The sequence below is a fragment of the Homo sapiens genome, chromosome 19, assembly GCF_000001405.40.
Source record: "Homo sapiens chromosome 19, GRCh38.p14 Primary Assembly".
NCBI lineage: Eukaryota > Metazoa > Chordata > Mammalia > Primates > Hominidae > Homo > Homo sapiens.
Genome location: NC_000019.10, coordinates 54,039,781 through 54,064,932, shown reverse-complemented (window position 1 = coordinate 54,064,932; position 25,152 = coordinate 54,039,781). Strand labels below are relative to the sequence as shown.

The 25,152-nt window shown below is 46.5% G+C and overlaps 1 protein-coding gene across 12 annotated transcripts; it reads left to right on the top strand.

Annotated features, from left to right (window-relative positions):
• Nucleotides 1–1,035: 1,035 nt before the first annotated feature.
• On the top strand, nt 1,036–24,108 carry VSTM1 (V-set and transmembrane domain containing 1). 12 transcript variants are annotated; one of them, XM_011526847.2, is made up of 11 exons: nt 1,036–1,189; nt 6,201–6,236; nt 6,343–6,627; nt 9,134–9,427; nt 13,485–13,523; nt 22,376–22,443; nt 22,564–22,656; nt 22,737–22,764; nt 22,980–23,017; nt 23,117–23,154; nt 23,853–24,108. In XM_011526847.2, the coding sequence occupies exons 1-11, from the start codon at nt 1,156–1,158 to the stop codon at nt 23,872–23,874; spliced, it is 975 nt and encodes a 324-aa protein (XP_011525149.1). In that variant the 5' UTR covers nt 1,036–1,155; the 3' UTR covers nt 23,875–24,108. The 12 variants fall into 12 exon arrangements, 11 of the variants coding, with proteins under 11 accessions (XP_011525149.1, XP_011525148.1, XP_011525147.1 ...); NR_110142.2 differs by lacking the exons at nt 9,134–9,427; nt 22,376–22,443 and adding an exon at nt 16,530–16,618; XM_011526846.2 differs by lacking the exon at nt 22,376–22,443.
• Nucleotides 24,109–25,152: the final 1,044 nt, after the last annotated feature.

Here is a 25,152-nt window from a genome sequence, read left to right as displayed (position 1 = left end):
CTGTCATCCCGGCAACTCGGGAGGCTGAGGCAGGAGAATCGCTTGAACCCGGGAGGCAGAGGTTGCAGTGAGCCAAGATTGTGCCACTGCACTCCAGCCTGGCTGACAGAGATTCTGTCTCAAAAAAAAAAAAAAAAAAAAAAAGTACTGTAATTATAAGAGATTACCATTGGCCGGGCACAGTGGCTTATGCCTGTAATCCCAGCACTTTGGGAGGCTGAGGTGGGCGGGTCACTAGAGACCAGGAGTTCAAGACCAGCCTGGCCCACATGGTGAAATCCCATCTCTACAAAAAATTAGCTGGGTGTGGTGGTGCATGCTTGTAATCCCAGCTACTTGGGAGTCTGAGGCAGGAGAATCCTTAAACCCATGAGGCAGAGGTTGCAGTGAGCCGAGATCGCGCCACTGCACTCCAGCCTGGGTGACAGAGCAAGACTCTGTCCCCCCCGCCCCCCAAAAAAAGGTTAACATTGTGGGGAGCTGGCTAGTGGGTACACGGAAGCTATAAAGCTATAGGTATTAATGTTTGTTTGTTTGCTTGTTTGAGACAGTTTCACCGTTGTTGTCCAGGCTGGAGTGCAGTGGCACAATCTTGGCTCACAGCAACCTCCGCCTCCTGGGTTCAAGCCATTCTCCTGTCTCAGCCTCCGGAGTAGCTGGGATTACAGGCATGCGCCACCATGCCTGGCTAATTTTGTATTTTTAGTAGAGACGGGGGTTTCTCCATTTTGGTCAGGCTGGTCTTGAACTCCCGACCTCAGGTGATCCGCCCGCCTCAGCCTCTCAAGGTGCTGGGATTACAGGCGTGAGCCACCGCGTCCGGCCGGTATTAGTGTTTTAAAATAAAAAATTACATTTACAGAAAACTCTTGGCAGAACTTCAGATAAGGTAGGACAGAGCTCGGGCGGGTGGGGCCACACACACCGGATTCATGGGGAAGAAGTTATCATCGACGGCTTCTTGTTTCCTGAGTCGGTTGTGAGAAGGAAACTGCAAGAGTGGGGCAGAGAACCAGAGTGTCAGAGCAAAACCTCCTCTATCTGCACATCCTGGGGACGAACCGGGCAGCCGGAGAGCTGCGGCCGGCCCAGTCCCGCTCCGCCTTTGAAGGGTAAAACCCAAGGCGGGGCCTTGGTTCTGGCAGAAGGGACGCTATGACCGCAGAATTCCTCTCCCTGCTTTGCCTCGGTGAGTCTCCAGGACTGGGACGAATGGGCTTGGGCTGGTGAGAAAAACTCATGTGGGAGTGGCAGTCCAGGTGGAAATGCGGTGTGTGGAAGTAATGACTTCCAGGTGTTGCACACCTGCGGTGGGTGGGTCTGGGCTGTGGGTTCTGTGAGTTCTGCCGCCCACATGCAAGCGAGGAGGAGGCCGCGCTGCAGAGACACGGGGACAGACTCCGCTGGGAAAGGCAGAGCTGCTGTGGGGTCTCCGAGTCTGCAGCCGCTAAATACCGCAGTACTGCCATCATCCTCCGTCGGAATAGAGGAGGGCTGGGCTTAGGGATCTACAGGGTGCAAGGCTGTGGGCAAAAAGACAATTTTCTTCTCTCTCTCTCTTATTTATTTATTTATGTATGTATGCATTTATTTATGAGACAGAGTCTCACTCTGTAGCCCAGGCTGGAGTGCAATGGCGTGATCTGGGCTCACTGCAACCTCCGTCTCCCAGGTTCAAGCGATTCTCCTGCCTCAGCCTCCCGAGTAGGTGGGACTACAGGTGCAGGCCACCACACCCGGCTGACTTTTGTATTTTAAGTAGAGACGGGGTTTCACCATGTTGGTCAGGCTGGTCTCGAGCCCCTGACCTCAGGTGATCCGCCCGCCTCAGCCTCCCAAAGTGCTGGGATTACAGGCGTGAGCCACCACACCTGGCCCCAAGAAGACAATTTTCTGACCAGCTCGATTCTTAGGCTGATTTTAACCATCCTCCAATTGAACCTGATGTATTCAGACAGAGCTCACACTGTGAAACGGATGACCTGGGTTATAATCTCGGCTTTACTACATAGAAACTCTAGGCTTGACCCAGCAGAGCTCCACCTCCCTAAGGCCCCAGTTCCTCCCTGGTGCACGGGGGGTGCGGTGGACATCGACGTGCTTCGTCTGCTTCAGTTCCTTCCTCCTTTTCTGGGTGCAGCCCTTCCTTGTGGGGTAATGCTCGTCTCCTACACACATTTGCACCTTAGATGAGCATTTTTTTTTTTTTTTGACAGAGTCTTGCTTTGTCTCCCAGGCTGGAGTGCAGTGGTGTGATCTCAGCTCACTGCAACCTCCACCTCCTGGGTTCAAGCGATTCTCCTGCCTCCGCCTCCCGAGAAGCTGGGATTATAGGCACACGCCACCACGCCTGGCTAATTTTTTGTGTTTTTAGTAGAGATGGGGTTTCACCATGTTGGCCAGGCTGGTCTCAAACTCCTGAACTCAGGTGATCTACCCACTTCAACCTCCTAAAGTGCTGGGATTACAGGTGTGAGCCACTGCACCCGGCTATTTGTGCCTTAGAGATGACTATCGGGTTCATACCCAAGCCTCCAGCTGCTGAGCACAGTAAGCTGGGCAACCAGGAGACTGACCTCATCCCCCAATGGCTGCCATACCAAAGTACTACAAGCCTGGTGGCTTAAAGGAATTAGAATTGCTTTAAGTTGGGGAGATGAGAAGTCTGAAACCAAGGTGTTTGCAATGTTGATTCCTTCTGAGAACTATGAAGGAGCGTCTGTTTTATGCCCCTCTTCTAGTGATGGCTGACAATTCTTGGCATTTTTTTTTTTTCTTGAGGCGGAGTCTTGCTCTGTCACCCAGGCTAGAGTGCAGTGGCATGATCTTTCTCACTGCAACCTCCACCTCCTGGGTTCAATCAATTCTCCTGCCTTAGCCTCCCAAGTAGCTGGGATTACAAGCATGGACCACCATGCCTGGCTAATTTTTGTATTTTTAGTAGAGACAGGGTTTCACCACGTTGGCCAGGCTGGCCTCGAACTCCTGACCTCAGGTGATCTGCCCGCCTCAGCCTCCCAAACTGTTGAGATTACAGGCGTGAGCCAGCGCTCCCGGCATTCTTTAACTTGTAGATGCATCACTCCAATCGTTGGCTCTGTTTTTTTTTTTCTTTTCTTTAGACAGGGTCTCACTCAGTTGCCCAGGCCGGAGTGCAGTGGTACCACCATAGCTCACTGCAGCCTCAACCTCCTGAGCTCAAGCAGTCCTCCCCGCAGCCTTCTGAGCAGCTAGGACTACAGGTGCACACCACCATGTTGGACTAATTAAAATAATTTCTGTTTTAGAGATGGGATCTTGCTATATTGCCCAGGCTAGTCTCCAACTCCTGGGCTCAAGCAATTCTCCTATCTTGGCATCCCAAAGCACTATGATTGCAGCCTGGCCTCTCTGCCTCTGTCTTCGCATGGCCGTCTTCCTTCTGTGTGTCTCTGTCTCTCTTTTTCTCTTCTTGTAAGTTATATTGGATTAGATACCCAGCCTACTCTAGTATGACCTCATCTTAGTTTAATTAATTACATCTGCAAAGATCAGACAATGCTATTTTCAAATAAGGTCACATTCGCAGGTCCTGGGAGTTACAACTTGAACTTCTCTTTTCAAGAAACACAAATCAGCCAGGTGTGGTGGCTCACGCCTGTAATCTCAGGACTTTGGGAGGCCCAGGCGGGCAGATCTCTTGAGGTCAGGAGTTTGAGACCAGACTGGCCAACATGGTGAAACCCCGTCTCTACTAAAAATACAAAAATTAGCTGGGCATGGTGGCAAGGACCTGTAATCCCAGCTACTCGGGAGGCTGAGGCAGGAAAATCGCTTGAACCTGGGAGGCAGAGGTTGCAGTGAGCTAAGATAGCACCGCTGCCCTCCAGCCTGGGTGACAGAGGGAGACTCCATGTCAAAAAAAAAAAAAAAAAAAGAAAAGAAAAAGAATATGGGAATTGGGCTGGGTGCAGGTAGCTCACACCTGTAATCCCAGCATGTTGGGAGGCCAAGGTGGGAGAATCACTTGAACTCAGGTGTTCGAGACCAGCCTGGGCAACATCGTGAGTCCTCATCTCTACAAAAAAATTTTAAAATCAGCCAGCGTGGTGGTGCATGCCTGTAGTCCCAGTTATTTGGGAGGCTGAGATGGATGGATCACTTGAGCCCAGGAGGTTGAGGCTGCAGTGAGCTGTGACTGCACCCTGGCACTCCAGCCTGGGCCACAGAGTGAGACCCTGTCTCAAAAAGAAAAAAGAATATAGGAATCACTGTTTGAACAGACGATGGGTGGATAGCAGAGATGAGATGACATGAATCTAAAAGCGGGATTTGGGGAGGGTCTCAAAACAGAGCCTGAGTCCTGGGATGCCCTGCCCACCCAGAGGCTGTTTCCTACCTGCCAATCCCAGCTAATCTCGCTGCCAACGCAGCTTCGGTCCATCGTGAGGCCTCCACCTCATTCCTCTGTGGTGAAGCTTGGTGGGGGGTCACGTTCTGTATCGGCACCTGTGTCAACAAGGAACCAATGTCCTGAGACACTGTCGTGGCTCTAGAGAATTTCTACCTAAATTCTACGTAACTTCACCCTGAAACAAGCCCCATGACTGACATCCCATTTTCCACCCAAGTTTAAGACGCTACCTTCCCAGCGGGGAATGTAGAGAACAGAACACAGAAGAGGGAGGGGATAATGTAAGTGGAAACCAAAGCTAAAGTGAGGAGAGTATTTGGGACCAGAAGACACGGGGAAGGGGGAGCAGATTCTCTCTATTGGAATTGAGCAAGAAAACCCTCCTCTCGGCCGGGCGCGGTGGCTGATGCCTGTAATCCCAGCACTTTGGGAGTCCGAGGCGGGTGGATCACGAGGTCAGGAGATCAAGACCATCCTGGCTAACACAGTGAAACCCCGTCTCTACTAAAAATACAAAAAAATTAATTAGCTGGGCTTGGTGGCGGGTGCCTGTAGTCCCAGCTACTCGGGAGGCCGAGGCAGGAGAATGGCGTGAACCCGGGAGGCAGAGCTTGCGGTGAGCCGAGATCGCGCCACTGCACTCCAGCCTGGGTGACAGAGCGAGACTCCATCTCGAAAAATAAAAAAAAAAAAAAAACCCACCACTCTCACTCCACGATAAAATAACCTTTGCATTATTTAAGTGGCAAGGGTAAAACTGCAATCAGGCCGGGCACGGTGGCTCATGCCTGTAATCCCAGCGCTTTGGGAGGCTGAGGCGGGTGGATCACTTGAGCTCAGGAGTTTGAGACCAGCCTGGGCAACATGGTGAAACCCCATCTCTACAACAACAACAACAAAAATTAGCTGGGCACGATGGCACACACCTGTAGTCCCAGCTACTCTGGAGCCTGAGGTACGAGTATCACTTGAACCCAGGGGGTGGAGGAGGTTGCAGTGAGCTGAGACTGCACCACTGCACTCCAGCCTGGGTGACACAGCGAGACTCTGTCTCAAAACAAAACAAAACACTGCAATCACAGAAAATACCAGAAAAAAGCATAGGTGAATGTTGAACAATTTCTAGATGGTGAAAGGATTACTCATGAAAGCAATTCAATACATCAGAAAAGGTTGCTGGGCCGGGGGCAGTGGCTCACGCCTGTAATCCCAGCACTTTGGGAGGCCGAGGCGTGTGGATCACCTGAGGTCAGGAGTTCAAGACCAGCCTGGCCAACATGGTGAGACCCTGTCTCTACTAAAAATGCAAAAATTAGCCAGGTGTGGTGGCGGGTGCCTGTAGTCCCAGCTACTCGGGAGGCTGAGGCAGGAAAATTGCTTGAACCTGGGAGGCGGAGGTTGCAGTGAACTGAGATCATGTCATTGCACTCCAGCCTGTGCAACAGAGCAAGACTACATTTCAAAAAAAAAAAAAAAAAAAGAAAGAAGAAGTTGCTGGAATTTTCTCCATACACGTAGCTTCTGAATGACAAACAATGGAACAAAAGTAAGAGGTAAGTCTGGGGAGATATCTGCCAAAAATATATACATATATGTAATACATATATTTAATATATATATTATATTTATATATGTATTATATGTAATATGTGTACATATACTTAATACATTTATTATATATAATACATATATACATTATATATATATATATATCTCAGACCTATAAAGAGCTAGTCATACGTTCTCTGCTGGATTTGTACTCAAGGACAAGCACATAATTTTTCTCTCATTGAGATTTCTCTTCCAGGGCTGTGTCTGGGCTACGAAGATGAGAAAAAGAATGGTGAGTTTTCTCCTACTTAAACTTTTATTCCTGCATCCCACGCTTCATGACCTTTTCCTTTAATCGTCTGAATTCTAGACTCAAATTAACTCTGAATTGTTTCCAGAGAAACCGCCCAAGCCCTCCCTCCACGCCTGGCCCAGCTCGGTGGTTGAAGCCGAGAGCAATGTGACCCTGAAGTGTCAGGCTCATTCCCAGAATGTGACATTTGTGCTGCGCAAGGTGAACGACTCTGGGTACAAGCAGGAACAGAGCTCGGCAGAAAACGAAGCTGAATTCCCCTTCACGGACCTGAAGCCTAAGGATGCTGGGAGGTACTTTTGTGCCTACAAGACAACAGCCTCCCATGAGTGGTCAGAAAGCAGTGAACACTTGCAGCTGGTGGTCACAGGTGAGAAGGGCAGATGTACTCTTTGATGCACACATTTCTTTGGTTTGGCTTTGCTTTTTTTTTTTTAAGACAGAGTCTTGCTGTGTCTCCCAGGCTGGAGTGCAGTGGCACGATCTCGGCTCACTGCAACTTCTGCCTCCTGGGTTCAAGCAATTCTCCCTCCTCAGCCTCCCGAGTAGCTGGGACTACAGGCGCCCGCCACCACGCCCAGCTAATTGTTTGTGTTTTTAGTAGAGATGGGGTTTCGCCATGTTAGCCAGGATGGTCTCCATCTCCTGACCTTGTGATCCACCTGCCTCCGCCTCCCAAAGTGCTGGGATTACAGGCATGAGCCACCGCGCCCGGCCTAATTTTTGTATTTTTAATAAAGATGAGGTTGTACCATATTGGTGAGGTTGATCTCAAACTCCTGACCTCAAGTGATCCATCTGCCTCGGCCTCCCAAAGGGCTGGGATTATAAACGTGAACCTCCACACCCAGCCTTTTTTTTTTTTTTGAGAGGGAGTCTTGCTCTGTTGCCCAGGCTGGAGTACAGTGGCATGATCTCAGCTCACTGCAACCCCCGCCTCCTGGGTTCATGCAATTCACCTGCCTCAGCCTCCCGAGTAGCTGGAACTACAGGGGTGCGCCACCACACCTGGCTAATTTTTGTATTTTAGTAGAGACAGGGTTTTACCATGTTGGCCAGGCTGATCTCGAACTGCTGACCTCAAGTGATCTGCCCACCTCAGCCTCCCAAAGTGCTGAGATTACAGGAGTGAGCCACTGCGCTCGGCTGCTTTTTTTTTTTTTGACAGAATCTCGCTCTGTCACCCAGGCAGGAGTGCAGTGGCATGAACACAATTCACTGCAGCCTCGACCTCCCAGGCTCAAGCGATTTTCCCACATCAGCCTCCCAAGTAGCTGGGAGTACAGGCAAGCACCACCATGCCTGGCTAATTTTTAAATTACTTGTTGAGACAGGATCTATGTTGCCCAGGCTGGTCTTGAACTCCTGAGCTCAGGTGATCCTCCTGCCTTGGCCTCCCAAAGTGCTGGGATTACAGGCGTGAGTCACCAAAGCCTGCCTGATGCACGTATTTCTTTTCCTGTCGTGGGACATGGCTGGGGAAGAAGGAATCTAGGAGACAAAAAGATAGATGCAGGCCAGGCACGGCGCGGTGGCTCATGCCTGTAATCCCAGCACTTTGGGAGGCAGAGGTGGGCAGATCACTTGAGGTCGGGAGTTCGAGACCAGCCTGGCCAACATGGTGAAACCTCACCTCTACTTAAAATACAAAAATTAGCTGGGCGTGGTGGCAGGCGCCTGTAATCCCAGCTACTAGGGAGGCTGAGGCAGGAAGAGAATCTCTTGAGCCCAGAAGGCAGAGGTTGTAATGAGCTGAGATTGTGCCACTGCACTGCAGCCTGGATGAAAGAGCAAGACTCCGTCTAAAAAAAAAAAAGAAGAAGAAGGATAGATGCAACACCTTCAATGTGGAAATGGGAACCGAATGTGGAGCAAGATTCTCATCAGAGATTCTGAGAGGGTCCCAATGATGTGGATGTGGGAGGGTGGTGTAGAATATGGTCAGTTAATAGAAAATTGGGGTATGGTAAGACTGACAGACCAAGTGATGATTGCCATGGAAAAGATGGTCTGTTACAGTTCCCAAGAGGAGGAGGAAGGCTATACTGGGGGGAGTATGTGGGGAAGCACCAGGGTCAATGAGGGGCAGAGGGAGGAGGAAGAACTGTGGACCAGAGCTTTGATTGTATTTTGTGGGGAGAACAAGATTAGAGTTGGCCAGGTGTGGTGGTTCATGCCTGTAATCCTAGCACTTTGGGAGGCCTAGGAGGGTGGATCACCTGAGGTCAGGAGTTTGACATCAGCCTGGGTAACATGGCGAAACTCCATCTCTACAAAAATACAATAATTACCTGGGTGTGGTGGTGTGCACCTGTGCTTTCAGCTACTCGGGAGGCTGAGGCACGAGAATTGCTTGAACCCCAGAGGCAGAGGCTGCGGTGAGCCAAGATCGTGCCACTGCACTCAAGCCTGGGTGATAGAATGAGAACCTGTCTCAAAAAAAAAAAAAAAAAAAAAAAAAGAAAAGAAAAGAAAAGAAAGAAAGAAAAGAAAAACAAAAAAAGAATTGGCTTTGGGGTGTAGAGGCTGTCCCTGGTTGTCTAGTTCTTGGACCTGGGGTGATTAGGAGAGGACAACATTGACCTTGAGTGTGAGAGCCCCATAATTAAGGTGGTTGAGAGTATGGGCTCTGGATCTATTGGCTTGCATTTGAGGGACATCCTTGAGGACAAGTTGTTTACTGGCTCTAGAAATTAACTAACCCTGCGAGGGGAGGTCCCACCAAGGGCAGCAAGGCCCCAAGATGTTAAAGCATCAAATGCAGAAGATGAAAGACATGGTTAATACGGAGAGATGGATGAGATAGTCCCCAAGTGCAGTAGAAAATGGAAAAGCCCTGGCCCTTCTCTTTACCTCCATTGCCTTGTCCTCTTCAGGATCACTCCCAGAACCTTTGCTCTCAGTCAATGTAGACCCTGGGATGACTCCAGGTCTCAGGACACTTCGATGTCTCACTCCATACAATGGAACCGAATGTATTGTAATTGCTCTGTTGAAAATGGGGATCCCAGAACCATTACAAGTCAGGCAAGTAAGAAAAAACCAGACTGATTTCATGCTCTGGAACGTGACAAGTAATGACAGTGGAAACTACAGCTGTGTGTATTACCTGAGCAACTCATCACACTTGGCCTCCTTCCCCAGCAACAAGCTGGAGATCTGGGTGACAGGTGAGGATAGAGTGATAACACTGGCATTTGACATGTATCCAGCATTTTCTATGTTCCTGTCTCCACGACAGGTAACTTGCCTCCACTAACTCATTCAGTCTTCACTTCCTATGAGGGTGGTTGTGTTACTAACTTCTTTTTGCTCATAGAGATTAGGTGACCTCCCCGGTGTCACAAAAACAATGAGCTTCACAGTTGCTATTCAGACATAAATGAAAATTTATATTTCATTATGCCAGAGAAGGAAAGCCAGAAAGAGTGTCCAGTGCTCTATGAGGGATGTAGGAATGGCAAATAATGGATTGTGGGGCTAAGAGATCCCATTGTGTGGAAAAGTATGGGAGGCACGGTGCAGGTAACTGAAAAAAAAATGATGAGGACCACAGTGAGAAGATGCACGTGGGAGGATTGTAACATACATGACTTGAGATCCCAAGGAAGAGGGATAAAGAATAATTTTGCATCACTTTCATCTACCCATTTATCTACTCACCCATCCATCTATCAATCTACCCACCCATCTATCAACCCACCCACCCATCTACCCACCTACCAACCCATCCACCCTCCTACCCACTCATTCACCCATCCATCCACTCACTTATCCATCTATCCATCAACTCATCCATCCATCCATCCATCCATCCATCCATCCATTCATCTATCCATTAATCCATCCAACCACCAACCCTTCCATTCATCTGTCCACCCACCCCTTCATCCATCTATCTACCTACCTACCCATCTATTTACCCAGCCACTCATTTGTCCATCCTTCCACCCATTCATCCACTCATCCACCCTTTCACCCATTCACTCACCCCCACCCACCTATCCATCTATCCATCCATCCATCCATCCATCCATCCATTCATCCATTCATTTATTAGTCACTAAACAATACCTCTCAACTGACCACAGTTGCTTCCAGTAGGTCAGTCCTGCCATATCATGGGAAATCCCTGGAGAGACTTTACAGTCATCAGTGTAGTGTAGAAGTAGCCGTGGGTCCACACCAATGACTTAGCCTGGGCTTGGGGCATGATGAGTAACTGAATACTTAATGTTTCACCTCTGATTTACCCTCTTTCTGAGGCTCTTGATCAATGATACTCCAACAAGGTGCTCATCACTTTGATATTGATTTCAAATTGTATTCCCCATAACTCGTTCTTGTAGTCTTAAGAATTTCTGCACCCACACTTTAGCCCTAAAAGCCTCGCGATTATTTGCCATTTCCCAATTATGTTCTCTGGCATATCATCTACTGTTTCCTGATTTCTTCACCTCTATCGCAGCTGTACCATTACATCACAAGACAGGCTATAGTATCAATTTCCAGTGGTTGATTTTCCAGGTCAGCCTTCCATATACAATCTGTTTGCTGCTTTGCAAATCACTTTATTATACTACTTTTTACTTTTTTATTATACTACTTTTTACTTATTACAAAATGGGCATATAAATGCTTCCATTACAAAAAAAAATTAATGCAAAATACCTGGCACAAAAATAGCTGCCCATTCACCCTACAAATTCAGATACTTTGGTAGATCCTGAGCATATTGTAGGAACTGAGACAGACCAGGTCTCTGGCCAACAGGAGCTCACATTCTTCTTTGGAAGAAAGAAAGAAATAAGAGCAAGCTATCAGAGTAATTAAAAAACACATTATAGATGGAGAATAACTGTGAGAGGCATTGTATTAGTGATCTACAGCTGCATAACAAATTACCACTAATTTAGCAGCCTGAAACACCTATTTATTATCTCACAGTTGATGTGGGTCAGGAGTCCAGGCACAGCTTAGCTGAGTCCTCTGCTTTGGGTCTCATAAGGATGCAATCAAGGTGTCAACAAGGGCTGTGTTCTCATCTGGCTCATCTGGAGGCTTGACTGGGGAAGGGTCCATTTCTCCACTCCTGTGGTTGATAGCAATATCTGGTTCTTTATAGCTGTAGGATTCATGCTAGAATGATTCTGCAGCACTTGCAAGAAGAGAGATTGAGAGAGAGAGAAGAAAGAGAGAGCAAATGCCCTAGCAAACAGAGTTTTATGTAATGTAACATAATCAAGAGCATAACATCCCATCACCTTTGCCATAGCTATTGGTGAGAAGAAAGTCACAGATCTCCACACTCAAGGTGAGGGGATTAGACAAAGGCATGAACACCAGGAAGCAGGGCTCCTGAGTCTCCTGAGTGCCCCCTTAGGGTCTATCTGCCACAAGCATGAAGGATGAGAATGACCCAACCACACCGATATCTGGAGAACAGCCCTCCAGGGAGAGAGAGCAGCAAAAGCAAAGTCTCAGAAGTGTGAGTGTTCCTGGAATGATTGAGACACAGAAAGGAGGACATAAGGCAGGGCCTAGAGCATCTAGGATCTTGTGGGTGTTTGAACTGGTCCTAGAGTCTGCTTTGAAAGAACAGGAACCCACTGATGAAGTTGAGCTGGAGGATGGCATGATTTTATTTATATGCTGGAAGGGTCACTGGCTGCTTTTTTTTTTTTTTTTTTTTTTGAGACAGGGTCCCACTCGGTTGCCCAGGCTGGAGTGCAGTGGTGCAATCACAGCTCACTGCAGCCTTGACCTCCCAGGCCCAGGTAATCCTCCCACCTCAGCCTCCCAAGCATCTGAGATTACAGGCACAGGCCATCATGCCCGGCCTCTGGCTGCTTTTGGAAAATAAGGGACTAGATGTAGTAAGAGTTGGTGCGTTTCAGGCAATACGACTTTTTAAATTTAAAAATATCAAATTGACAAATGAAGATTGTATATATTCAAGGTATACAATCTGATGATTTGATCCACCTGTACATTGTGTAATGATTATCACAGTCAAATTAATTAGCACATCCATTGCCACCATGCTGAGCACCTGAACTTCTTCATCTTAGAACTGGAAACTTATACCCTTTCATCAACATCTCCGCATATATCATGCTAAACAAAATAAGCCAGACTCAGAAAGACAAATTCTGCAGGATCTCACTCATATGTGTAGTCTAAAAAAGCCAAACTCACAGAAGCAACTGGTGGTTGCCAGGGACTGGTGAGTAGGTGATATTTCATTTCATTTTTATTTTTATTTTTATTTTTTTTTTGAGACGGAGTCTGGCTCTGTCCCTCAGGCTGGAGTGCAGTGGCGCGATCTCGGCTCACTGCAAGCTCCGCCTCCCGGGTTCACGCCATTCTCCTGCCTCAGCCTCCCGAGTAGCTGGGACTACAGGGGCCCGCCACCACGCTCGGCTAACTTTTTGTATTTTTAGTAGAGACGGGGTTTCACCATGTTAGCCAGGATGGTCTCGATCTCCTGACCTTGTGATCTGCCCGCCTCGGCCTCCCAAAGTGCTGGGATTACAGGCGTGAGCCACTGCGCCCGGCCAAGTAGGTGATATTTTAACTTAGACTAAATGGTGCCACTGTGGAGATAGAAATATAGGCCAGGTGCAGTGGCTCATGCCTGGAATCCCAGTATTCTGAGTGGCCAAGGCAGGTTGATCACTTGAGGCCAGGAGTTTGAGACCAGCCTGGCCAACATGGTGAAACCCTGTCTCTACTAAAAATACAAAAATTAGCAGGGTGTGGTGGCGGGCGCCTGTAGTCCCAGCTACTTGGAAGGCTGAGGCAGGAGAATCTCTTGAACCCGGGAGGCGGAGGTTGCAGTGAGCTGAGATCATGCCACTGCACTCCAGCTTGGGTAACAGTGCAAGACTCAAAAAAAATAAAAGAAAGAAAGAATTTGGGTGAATGGTGTTCTTTGTCAAGATAGAGAAGACTGGCAAGGAATCAAACTGGAGGGGGCGTTAGCAGGGTCATTCATAAATATTTTTGTTATTAAAAATACTATCAAACTCCAGGACTATTAAGAAGAGTAATCTGAGGCTCTGTCCATGCTCTGAGGACCCAGGGAGCATCTAGGGAATGGAGAAGCCATTCTCTTTTCTGCTTCCCAAAGAAGAACAGGATGTCTATAAGTAGGACGTGAGGACTCCTGTCCCCAAGGTTCCTGTATGATTAGTGTAATTCCTTTTCTTCCCTCCTATTTTCTAGATAAACACGATGAACTTGAAGCTCCCTCAATGAAAACAGGTAAGATAATTAGAAAGGAGATGTTTTTCCCAATGAGATCTGCTTCATGATCACCTTTGCTTAAAGTGCACAAGGAGAACTTTATTTATTTGTTTGTTTGTTTGTTTGTTTGTTTTTTGAGATAGAGTCTCGCTTTGTCACCAAGGCTGGAGTACAGTGGCGCAATCTCAGCTCACTGCAACCTTCGCCTCCCGGATTCAAGCAATTTTCCTGCCTCAGCCTCCCGAATAGCTGGGACTACAGGCACGCACCACCACACCCAGCTAATTTTTGTATTTTTAGTAGAGACGGGGTTTCACCATGTTGGCCAGGCTGGTCTCGAACTCCTGACCTTGTGATCTGCCCGCCTCAGCCTCCCAAAGTGCTGGGATTACAGGCGTGAGCCACCGCACACGGCCTATTTATTTTTTTGAGAAAGAGTCTTGTTCTGTCCCCCAGGGTGGCGTGAAGTGGCACAATCTCAGCTCACTGCAACCTCCACTTCCTGGGTTCTGGGTTCAAGCAATTCTCCTGCCTCGGCCTCCCGAATAGCTGGGATTACAGGCACCCACCACCATATCCAGCTCAGTTTTGTTTTTTGTTTTTTGTTTTTAGTAGAGATGGGGTTTCACCATGTTGGCCAGGCTGGTATCAAACTCCTGACCTCAAGCAATTCCCCCGCCTCGGCCTCTCAAAGTGTTGGGATTACAGGCATGAGCCACCGCACCCGGCCTAGAAGAACTTTAAAGCCCATTTTCTCAATGTTATTGGGGAAACTGCTGTGTTTTGGGGGGTGGAGGATGAGGGGAGATAACCTCTAAAGTGCTTCCGGGTTCTGAAGAAGCTGGTGTGTAAAACAGCACAGAGTGCGTTGTTTGCCATATGACATGATGAAAAACTAGGGTGGGATTTGGGGAATAATGGGGGTGAATTTTTCAGTGACCCATTTGGGGAGTAGGACCAGGACCTACGCAGAGTAGGTACTTCAGGAATATATATAATCAAGAGTTTGTTATAACTCTAAAATTCTCAAAAATAGGTGAATATTGAATTTTTTTTCTAATGTTGCTTATTCATTAACAATTGACTAAGATTCTGTCCTCAGAGTTTCTCATAAAAATTAGAGCTTTTGGGCCAGGCGAGGTGGCTCACATCTGTAATCCCAGCACTTTGGGAGGCCGAGGTGGGCGGATCACCTGAGGTCAGGAGTTCGAAACCAGCCTGGGCAACATGGTGAAACCCTGTCTCTACTAAAAATACAAAAATTTGCTGGGCATTGTGGTGGGCGCCTGTATTCCCAGCTACTCAAGTGACTGAGGCAGGAGAATTGCTTGAACCTGGGAGGCAGAGGTTGCAGTGAGCCGAGATTACACCACTGCCCTCCAGCCTGGGCAACAGAGTGAGACTCTGTCTCCAAAAAAAAAAAAAAAAAAAAAAAATTAAAAAGTTAGAGCTTTTGGCAGCATTCGGCTGAAACAGGAACTCATCCAGACTTTAAGGGCCAAATGCAGAATATAAATTGGCATCTAGATGCTTAATCATCCTTCCTTTCAGCAAGTCATAATCTTCCTGCAACCTACTCCAAAGAGCCAAAGTTGCTGAAGGTTGTTGCTAGCAGTCTGTGCTGGTATAATCGGTTTTCAAAAAGGTATCCTCCAAAGTGTTCTTGCAAGATAACTATTTGAAACGTTTTTATTCCATGATAGTAGGCTTGGGAAATGTCTGCTACCCTAGCACTACGAACACAATTCACGTCAGGAACGTTTTCTGAGAAAGATATGAAATCTAATGGGAGAGAGGAACACAGAAGTATCAGAAACGAGGTGGGAGATCTAGTGAGGTGTGAGGGGGAGGAGGAAGAGAAGCTTTTCTATTTTGAGCTCTTGTATCATTTATTTTCTTTCTTTTTTTATTGATATATAATTCACAGTCCAAAAATTCACCCTTGTAAAGTGTCCAATTCACTGGCATTTTGTATCTTCATGAGGTAGTATAACCATCACCACTACATAATTCCAGAACATTCTCATCACCCTAAAAGAAAATCTTGTACCCATTAAGCAGTCACTCCTCATTTCCCACTTTCCCACCAGGCCCTTCCAACCATTCATATGCTTCTCTGTGTCTATGATTTTGTCTATTCTGGACATTTTGTGTAAGTGGATTCATACACTATGTGATCCTTTGTGACTAGCTCCTTTCTCTTTAGCATAATGTTTTCAAAGTTTGTCTGTACTGTAGCATGCATCAATGTTTCATTTCTTGTCATGGTGAAAAGCATCGTATTGTATGGATAGACCACATTTTGCTTATCCATTCTTTTTTTTGTTTTTGTTTTTGTTTTTTTGAGACGGAGTCTTGCTCTGTCGCCCAGGCTGGAGTGCAGTGGCACAATCTCAGCTCACTGCAACCTCCGCCTCCCAGGTTTAAGTGATTCTTTTGCCTTAACCTCCTGAGTAGCTGGACCTACAGGCGCCCGTCACCATGCCTAGCTAATTTGTGTATTTTTAGTAGAGAGGGGGTTTCACCATGTTGGCTAGGCTGGTCTCGAACTCCTGACCTCAGGTGATCCACACGCCTCAGCTTCCCAAAGTGCTGGGATTACAGACTTGAGCTACTGTGCCTGGCCCCGTTCTTCTTTTGATGGACATTTGTGTTGTCTGCACCTCTTGGCTAAAGCGAGTAATGGTGCTGGAACACTGTGGTAGGAGTATCTGTTTGTCTCCGCGCTGTAAATTATCTTGAGTATGTACCTAGAAGTGGATTTGCTAGGACATATGGTGACTATTATGTTCAACTTTTTGAGGAACTGCCAAATCATTTTCCATTGTGGCTGTATCATGTTATATTCCTTCCAGTAATATATGTGGGTTCCAATATCTCCACATCCTTGTCAACACTTACTTTTCTTTTTTTAAATTATAGCCATCCCAGTGGGTATTATATAATTTCTTAAAATGTACTTTTTGAGTTCAAATTTGTATCATCACAATTCTAAACAGAATAAAATATCTTTGCCGGGCGCAGTGGCTCACGTCTGTAATACCAGGACTTTGGGAAGATGAGGCAGGAGGATCACTTGAGCCCAGGGGTTCAAGACCAGCCTGGACAACTTGGTAAGATCCCATCTCTACAAAAAATACAAAAATTAGCCAGGCGTGGTGGTGTGCACCTGTAGTCCCAGCTACTTGGGAGGCTCAGGCAGAAAGATCGTTTGCGCCCAGGAGGTTGAGGCTTCAGTGAACTGTGATTGCGCCACAGCACTCCAGCCTGGGTGACAGAGCGAGACCCTGTTTCAGTAAATAAATAAAATAAAAGTAAAATATCTGTAAGCACAGGTATGATGTCCCCAGCCTGTATTTATATGCCTAAAACACACTAGAAAACGACTCTATGTTCAATCGCAATGTAGAGAATGAAGATGAATTTTATCACACAAGACTTGACTTTCTTTCTGGTGCCTGTGCCTCCATTTATGCCCCGTGTCAGGCTGTATCTTGTTGCTCACGCTGACTTTAGTAGCGTAGCAAGTTATGATTTATTCTGGCAATTTGCAAATACTGATGCAACATTTGGCCAGGATCTGTGGACATCTCAGGGTGAACCCAGTTCAGCTGATTATGGGGTCATATGAAGATGAGAATTTTGCAATAATGTACTTCTCATTTCTAGTGAATTGCTGTGTGAAAGATACCGTAGGCTGGAAAAGGGGAGAACAGAAAGGACAAGGCAAGGCTGCTGTTTCTCTGCTTCCATCTGGGGAAACTGAGAGTCCAGGAGCAGCTGTTCCTGCCCTGTTTTCATAAGTCCTTGGAGATGCACTGATAGAATTGTTGCTTATGGCCAGGCATGGTGGCTTATGTAATCCCAGCACTTTGGGAGGCCAAAGTGGGCAGAACACTTGAGCTCTGGAGTTTGAGACCAGCCTAACCAACATGGTGAAACCTCATCTCTACTAGAAATATAAAAAATTAGCGGGGTGAGGTGGCGGGTGCTTGTAATCCCAGCTCCTTGGGAGGCTGAGGCAGGAGAATTGCTTGAACCCCAGAGGGGGAGGTTCCAAAGCCGAGATTGTACCACTGCACTCCAGCCTGGGAGACAGAGTGAGACTGTCTCAAAAAAAAAAAAATTGTTGCTTTTGAGGGGTTCTCTGATTCAGCTCCACCAGAAGCAGGCTCTTAGACAGCATTAGTGTGAAAGTGACGTTTTATTTTATTTATTATTTATTTAGTTTTGAGACAGAGTTTCGCTCTTGTTGCCCAGGCTGGAGTGCAATGGCGTGATCTTGGCTCACTGCAACCTCCGCCTACCAGGTTCAAGAGATTCTCCTGCCTCAGCCTCCCAAATAGCTGGGATTACAGGCATGCACCACCACACCCAGCTAATATTCTATTTTTAGTAGAGACGGGGTTTCTCCATGTTGGTCAGGCTGGTCTCGAACTCCTGACCTCAGGTGCTCTGCCTGCCTCGACCTCCCAAAGTGCTGGGATTACAGGTGTGAGCCACCACGCCTGGCTTGAAAATTACATTTTAGGGAGTGGGGAAGAAGGGCTGGGAGGAAAATAGATTAAACAAGTGTGGGATATCTGTGTCCCTCAGATGGTATCTTTGGCTCCATCCTGCAGAAAGCAGTGGAGACAGAGAAGGTCGAAGACCAGAGGCTAGGGAGCTGGGGTCCCCACAGCCGTCAGTGGCAGTTTGTCCCGGGCATGTAAATTCCAAGGCATTTGGAGTTCTCCCAGGCAGTCCCCCAAAGAAGAGATACAAATGTTCACTTTGGAAAGGGAAAGAAGCCACGATCTAGAATGCATAAAAATGGGAAAGGGATCTGGGGAACATGGGTTGAGGAACATTGACAGAATCTATTACAGAGAGAGATGGGTGTAGGTGGAATATTGGGTGAAAAAAAATCATCATTATACCTACAATCCCATTATCCGACACAATGAGTCAGTTTCTAGACTGAGCGCTTTAAAGCCAGGATTTTTCATCATTACCTAACTCTTCAAGTTAGATATTATTAGCTCTCTGCCCCCTCCTTATATTTAACCAAAAAATAACGTATTCCAGAAAGGGAAGGGAACATTTACAAAGTCAGGAGGTAGGAGACCCAGTACTAGAACTCAAATATGTCTTGTTTCAAACTCCCCACTCCTTTTGCTGCTCCCTGATGATCAGCTCAGAAAGAACCTTATTTCAGGGAGGGGGATAGATAGATAATTAGATGTGATAGATAATAGGCAAGTAGGCAGATAAATAGATAACTAGATATGATAGATTAGATAGATACATAGATGATAGGTAGATAAGTAGCTAGATACGATGGACAGATTAGATAGATAGACAGATGATAGGTAAGTAGGTAGATAGATAACTAGATACAACAGGTTAGATAAGTAAGTAGATAGATAACTAGATATGATAGATTAGATAGATAAATAGACGATAGGTAAGTAGGTAGATAGATACAGATAGATTAGCTAGCTAGCTAGATGATAGATAACTAGATATAATAGATAAGATAGATGATTAGATAGACAGATAATTAGATATGATTGATAGATACATTAGATAGATGATAGATTAGATAGATAGATGATAGGTAACTAGGTAGCTAGATAAAGCTAGCTAGATAGATAGATAGATATACAGATACACAGATAGATACATAGATACCTAGATAGGTGATAGAGTTGCAAGATAGAAAAATTAGATAAGTAGGTGGATAGATAGATAGATAACTAGATAGAATAGATTAAATAGATAATAGTAGGTGAATAGACAGATACATACAGATGATAGATGATAGATGATAGATAACTGGTTATGATTGATAGATACATTAGATAGATGATAGATTTGGTAACTAGATGATAGGTAAGTCGGTAGATAGATAAGTGATAATTAGATATGATAGGATGGATAGATTAGACAGACAGCAGGTAAGCAGGTGGATAGACAGATAAAGATAGATACATAGATGCCTAGATAAGTGATAGATTAACAAGATAGAAAAATTAGACAGACAGATAGTTAATTACATATGATAGGATAGATAGATTGGATAGGTGATAGGCAAGTAGGTAGATAGATAAATCATAATTAGATAGGACGGATAGATTGGATAGATGATAGGTAAGTAGGTACAGAGACAGATAAAGATAGATAGGTAGATAGATAATAGATACCTAGACAGATGGTAGATAGATTAGCGAGATAGATAAATTAGATAGGTAATTCTCTATATATAGATATGTAGAAATGCCAATGCAAACATAGCGAACCAAGTAGGGGAAGCGTCTGGATGGGAGACCCTCTGTTGGTGCAGAGGACCAGGCGTGTGAAGCATCTCAGACTTGGCTCTGTAATGTGACCACAGATCATTGCACACCTAGGAAAAATTCTCAGACTCAAAGCACACTAACAAAGATAGCGGGGGTCTTGGTGAAGCCCCTTTCTGGGGCCTCACTTCTATAGTTGCTCAACTTTTTTCCTTAATCACGTTTCTGCTACTTACTCCTTAAAGTCTCACGACTTGTGTTTCTTGAATCTAAAGTGCCAAGAAAAACAAAAAACGGGGGGGAACTGCATGGACTCTGTCGCCTAGCTTTAGTAACAGGTTGCTCTCTCTTCCTCAACGCTGTGAGCTTTGGACACAACCCTTGCTGTAATCCCAGGAGTCACACGGGAATGCATGCCCTTCACCAGTGGGAGGGAAATAATTGTACTACCTTGCAGGGTTGTTGTTAAGACTTTAAAACGCTATGATGTAGACTTGCATGGCAATATTGCTCAAGAACTAGTTTTTTTTGTTTTGTTTTGTTTTTGTTTTTTAATTGGTAGAAATTTTATCTCCTGAGAGGGATGCTTTTTTGAGTTGGAGTCTTGGTCAGTTGAGTGTATGATGCAGTGATGCGATCTCGGCTCACTGCAACCTCCGCCTCCCAGGTTCAAGCAATTCTCTTCTCTCAGCCTCCTGAGTAGCTGGGACTACAGGCGTGCGCCACCATGCCCAGCTTATTTTTTATATTTTCAGTAGAGACAGGGTTTCACCATGTTGGCCAGGCTGGTCTCGAACTCCAGACCTCAAGTGATCCACCTACTTCACTCTCCCAAAGTGCCAGGATTACAGGCGTGAGCCACCGTGCCCGGCCACTGGTCATTCTTTTCTACCCTGCTCTAACCCTGTTCTTATTAGGAATCCTCCCTGAATTCTCCCAGCTGATCCCTTGTTCTGTGTCTTGGGGAATCATGTCTCCTTCAGAGAGCCCCACCCCTCCCCACTCTAAACGCCTTCCATGCCCGTGTCACTGCTGTTCATTACCTGGCATCAACGAGCTCATTGAAGTGTGTTTGAAGTTGGCTGGGCGTGGTGGTCTGTACTCCCAGCTACCCTGGAGGCCGAGTGAGGAGGACCACTTGAGCCCAGGAATTCGAGTATGATCACACCACTGCACTCTAGCCTGGGCAACAATGGGAACCCATTGGCACATCTGGGATTGGCATCCTGAGCTCCCATCTGTGACCTCCCTCCTCTCCCCTCCTCTCCCCTCCATTGCCCTCACCCTCTCCCCATAATCTTCACATCCCGTCCTTTCACATCTCTCTCTCTCCTTTAAAAAAAGAAAAAGGAAATATGTTTGAAGTTAAGAGCTGAGATCATGTCTGTGTTAGCCAGGGTTTTCCAGAAAAACAGAACCAATAGAACATATAGATATAAGCTGGGTGTGGTGGCTCACGCCTGTAATCCCAGCACTTTGGGAGGCCGAGGCAGGCAGATTGCCTGAGGTCAGTAGTTCAAGACCAGCGTGGCCAACATGGCGAAACCCCGTCTCTACTAAAAATACAAAAATTAGCCGGGCGTGATGGTGGGCACCTGTAATCCCAGCTACTCAGGAGGCTAAGGCAGGAGAATTGCTTGAACCCGGGAGGCGGAGCTTGCAGTGAGCCAAGATTGCACTATTGCACTCCAGCCTGGACGATAAGAGTGAGACTTTGTCTCAAAAAAAAAAAAGAGAACATATACATGTATATACATATATGGAGAGAGAGATTGATTTTAATGGATTGGTTCACGTGATTGTGGGGAGCTGGCAAGTCTGAAATCTGCAGGGCAGGCAGGCAGGGGATCCAGGGGAGACTTGATATTGCAGCTTGAGTCTGGAGGCAGAATTCCTTCCACCTTGGGGGACCTCAGTCTTTTCTCTTAAAGTCTTAAAGTCTTCAACTGATTGGATGAGGCCCACCCCTATGACAGTGGGTCATCTGCTTTACTCAAAGTCTATTGGTCGAAATGTCCAGCTCCAAGGAAGTTCCAGCTCCAAGGTGGGAGATCCAGGCTTGGAAGCCAGGCCATCTGTCTGGCTTCTCTTAGCTTTTCTACTCACCCCATCAGTGGATTTCAGACAGTGATTACACAGACAGATGTGGTGGCTCACGCCTGTAATCCCAACTACTCAGGAGGCTGAGTCAGGAGAATTGTTTGAACCAGGGAGGTGGAGGTTGCAGTGAGCCAGGATCACACTCCAGCCTGGGTGACAGAACACGACTCCATCTCAAAAAAAAAAAAGTGTGTATATATATATATATATGTATATATATATATATATATATATATATATATACACATTTATATATACACACACATATATATACATTTATATATATATATACACACACACACACGTATATATATATATGGAGCACCTGGAACAGAGCTGGCTCACAATAAATGATCAATATCATTGCTATGCACCAAACATTCCCTGGGAATTTTTGGAATTTCCTATGCGCCAAGCACTGTTCCAGCCCTTTCTATAGGTACTGACCCACCATCCAATAAAGTAGCTACTGCTGCTATCCTCACTTTACAGATGGGGAAACAGAAGCTTGGAGAAGATTAAGGAAATTCCCCAAAGCAATAGGAAGTTCCAGCTCCGAGGTGGGAGATCCAGGCTTGGAAGCCAGGCCATCTGTCTGGCTTCTCTTAGCTTTTCGGCTCGCCCCTATCAGTGGATTTCAGGAGCCAGGCTGATTCCCTGACCTGCTCTTCCCCCTCCAGACACCAGAACCATCTTTGTCGCCATCTTCAGCTGCATCTCCATCCTTCTCCTCTTCCTCTCAGTCTTCATCATCTACAGATGCAGCCAGCACAGTGAGCTCAGAGAACGCAAAGGGAGAGAGGGGGAGTGAAGGATTTTCTCGGTAGGTAAATTCCTCCTGCATTTTTTGTAGGTTCATCATCTGAGGAATCCACCAAGAGGTAGATGCTTGGCATAGCTCATGCTCCACTTATTCCCATGTCATTCTCAAGGGAACCCATTGGCACATCCGGGATTGGCACCCTGAGCCCCCACCCCAGCCCATTCTGTGACCTTCCTCCTCTCCCTTCTTCTCCCTTCCTCTCCCCTCCATTGCCCTCACCCTCTCCCCGAAATCTTCACATCCCATCCTTTCACGTGTGTCTCTCTCTTTCAGAACCAGCCATTCCAAACTTCCGGAGCAGGAGGCTGCCGGTAAGGGACAGGGGAAGTTTAAGGGAATCACCGGATAGAAAGACTAAGTTCTGACTTCTGCAGCTGAGAACTGATTTTTTTTTTTCCTTTCTCACTCAGAGGCAGATTTATCCAATATGGAAAGGGTATCTCTCTCGGTGAGTCCTCCCGCTTAGGAGTCCCACAAGAGCTCCCTCACCACAATGGGCTGGTCGTGTGTGCCTCCTGGTTAAGCCCATACAGAAATGTATACTGTTTATCACGCATGTGGTCTTAGACAAGTCACGAAACTCCCCTAATGGGAACCAAAATCTCCATTTAAAAGGCTTATGCATGGGCCGGGCGCGGTGGCTCACGCCTGTAATCCCAGCACTTTGGGAGGCCGAGGCGGGCGGATCATGAGGTCAGGAGATCGAGACCATCCTGGTTAACATGGTGAAACCCCATCTCTACTAAAGATACAAAAAATTAGCTGGGCGTGGTAGTGGGCGCCTGTAATCCCAGCTACTCAGGAGGCTGAGCCAGGAGAATGGCTTGAACCCGGGAGGCGGAGGTTGCAGTGAGCCGAGATCACGCCACCGCACTCCAGCCTGGGCGACAGAGCCAGACTCTGTCCCAAAATAAATAAATAAATAAAAATTTAAAAAAAATGAAAAAAGGCTTACGCAGATCCATTGATGTCACAGGCATAAAGGGTTATAAAAACAGAAAAGAAAAAGAAATGCATCTGGTGTGACCGAGGACCTGGGTTTTAAATTAAATTTAATTGTAATTAACTTAAATGTCAATAGCCATGTGTGGCTAGTGGCTGCCATATTGAACACTCAGTTCTAATATTCATCTATTTTCTCCAAAGACGGCAGACCCCCAAGGAGTGACCTATGCTGAGCTAAGCACCAGCGCCCTGTCTGAGGCAGCTTCAGACACCACCCAGGAGCCCCCAGGATCTCATGAATATGCGGCACTGAAAGTGTAGCAAGAAGACAGCCCTGGCCACTAAAGGAGGGGGGATCGTGCTGGCCAAGGTTATCGGAAATCTGGAGATGCAGATACTGTGTTTCCTTGCTCTTCGTCCATATCAATAAAATTAAGTTTCTCGTCTTAAAAAGAAATCTGACTTATTTATGGATTATTCATGCCCAAGAACCCCACCATACTCTTTCTACCCCACATTTCCTCCTAGAACAATTCAAGGAAATAATAAATAATGATTGACCAGCTATCCAGGAAAGAATGTAAGAATTACTGAGCATCTCCAGGAAGCACAACAAGCAAAAAAGAAAACGGCCGGGCTCACGCCTGTCATCCCAGCACTTTGGGAGGCCGAGGTGGGTGGATCATCTGAGGTCAGAGTTCAAGACCAGCCTGACCAACATGGTGAAATCCCATCTCTACTAAAAATAAAAAATTAGTTGGACGTGGTGGCAGGCGCCTGTAATCCCCGCTACTTGGGAGACTGAGGCAGAAGAATCGCTTGAACCCAGGAGGCAGAGATTGCAGTGAGCTGAGATGGCGCCATTGAATTCCAGCCTGGGCAATGGAGTGAGACTCCATCTCAAAAAAAAAAAAAAAAAAAAACAAAAAACGCCCAGAGCTGCAAACTCCTAGACCAGAGGGCAGAAAACAAAAGGACCAGAGAGTAACACGTCCAGCTTTGTGGGCTGTAGGATCTCTGCTGAGACTACCCCACTCTGCTGTTGTACCATGAAAGCAGCCATCGCTGATATGTAAACAAGTAGGTGTGGCGGTGTTAGAATAAAACTTTATTTACAACTTCATGTTCTCACTCATGTAGGAGCTAAAAAAGTAGATCTCATGAAGGTAAAGAGAGAGTCAGTTATCAAAGGCTAGAAGGGGTGGGATAGTTAATGGGCACAAACACAGTTGGATAGAAGGAATAAGTTCAAGTGTTCAATAGCACAGAAGGGTGACTATAGTTAACAGCAATATATTGTATATTTCAAAATAGCTAGAAGAGAAGATTTGAAACATTCCCAACACAAACGATAAATGAGCCAGGTGCAGTGGCTCACTCCTGTAATCCCAACACTTTGAGAGGCCAAGATGGGTGGATCACCTGAGGTCAGGAGTTCAAGACCAGCCTGGCCAACAAGGTGAAACCCCATCTCCACTAAAAATACAAAAATTAGCTGGGT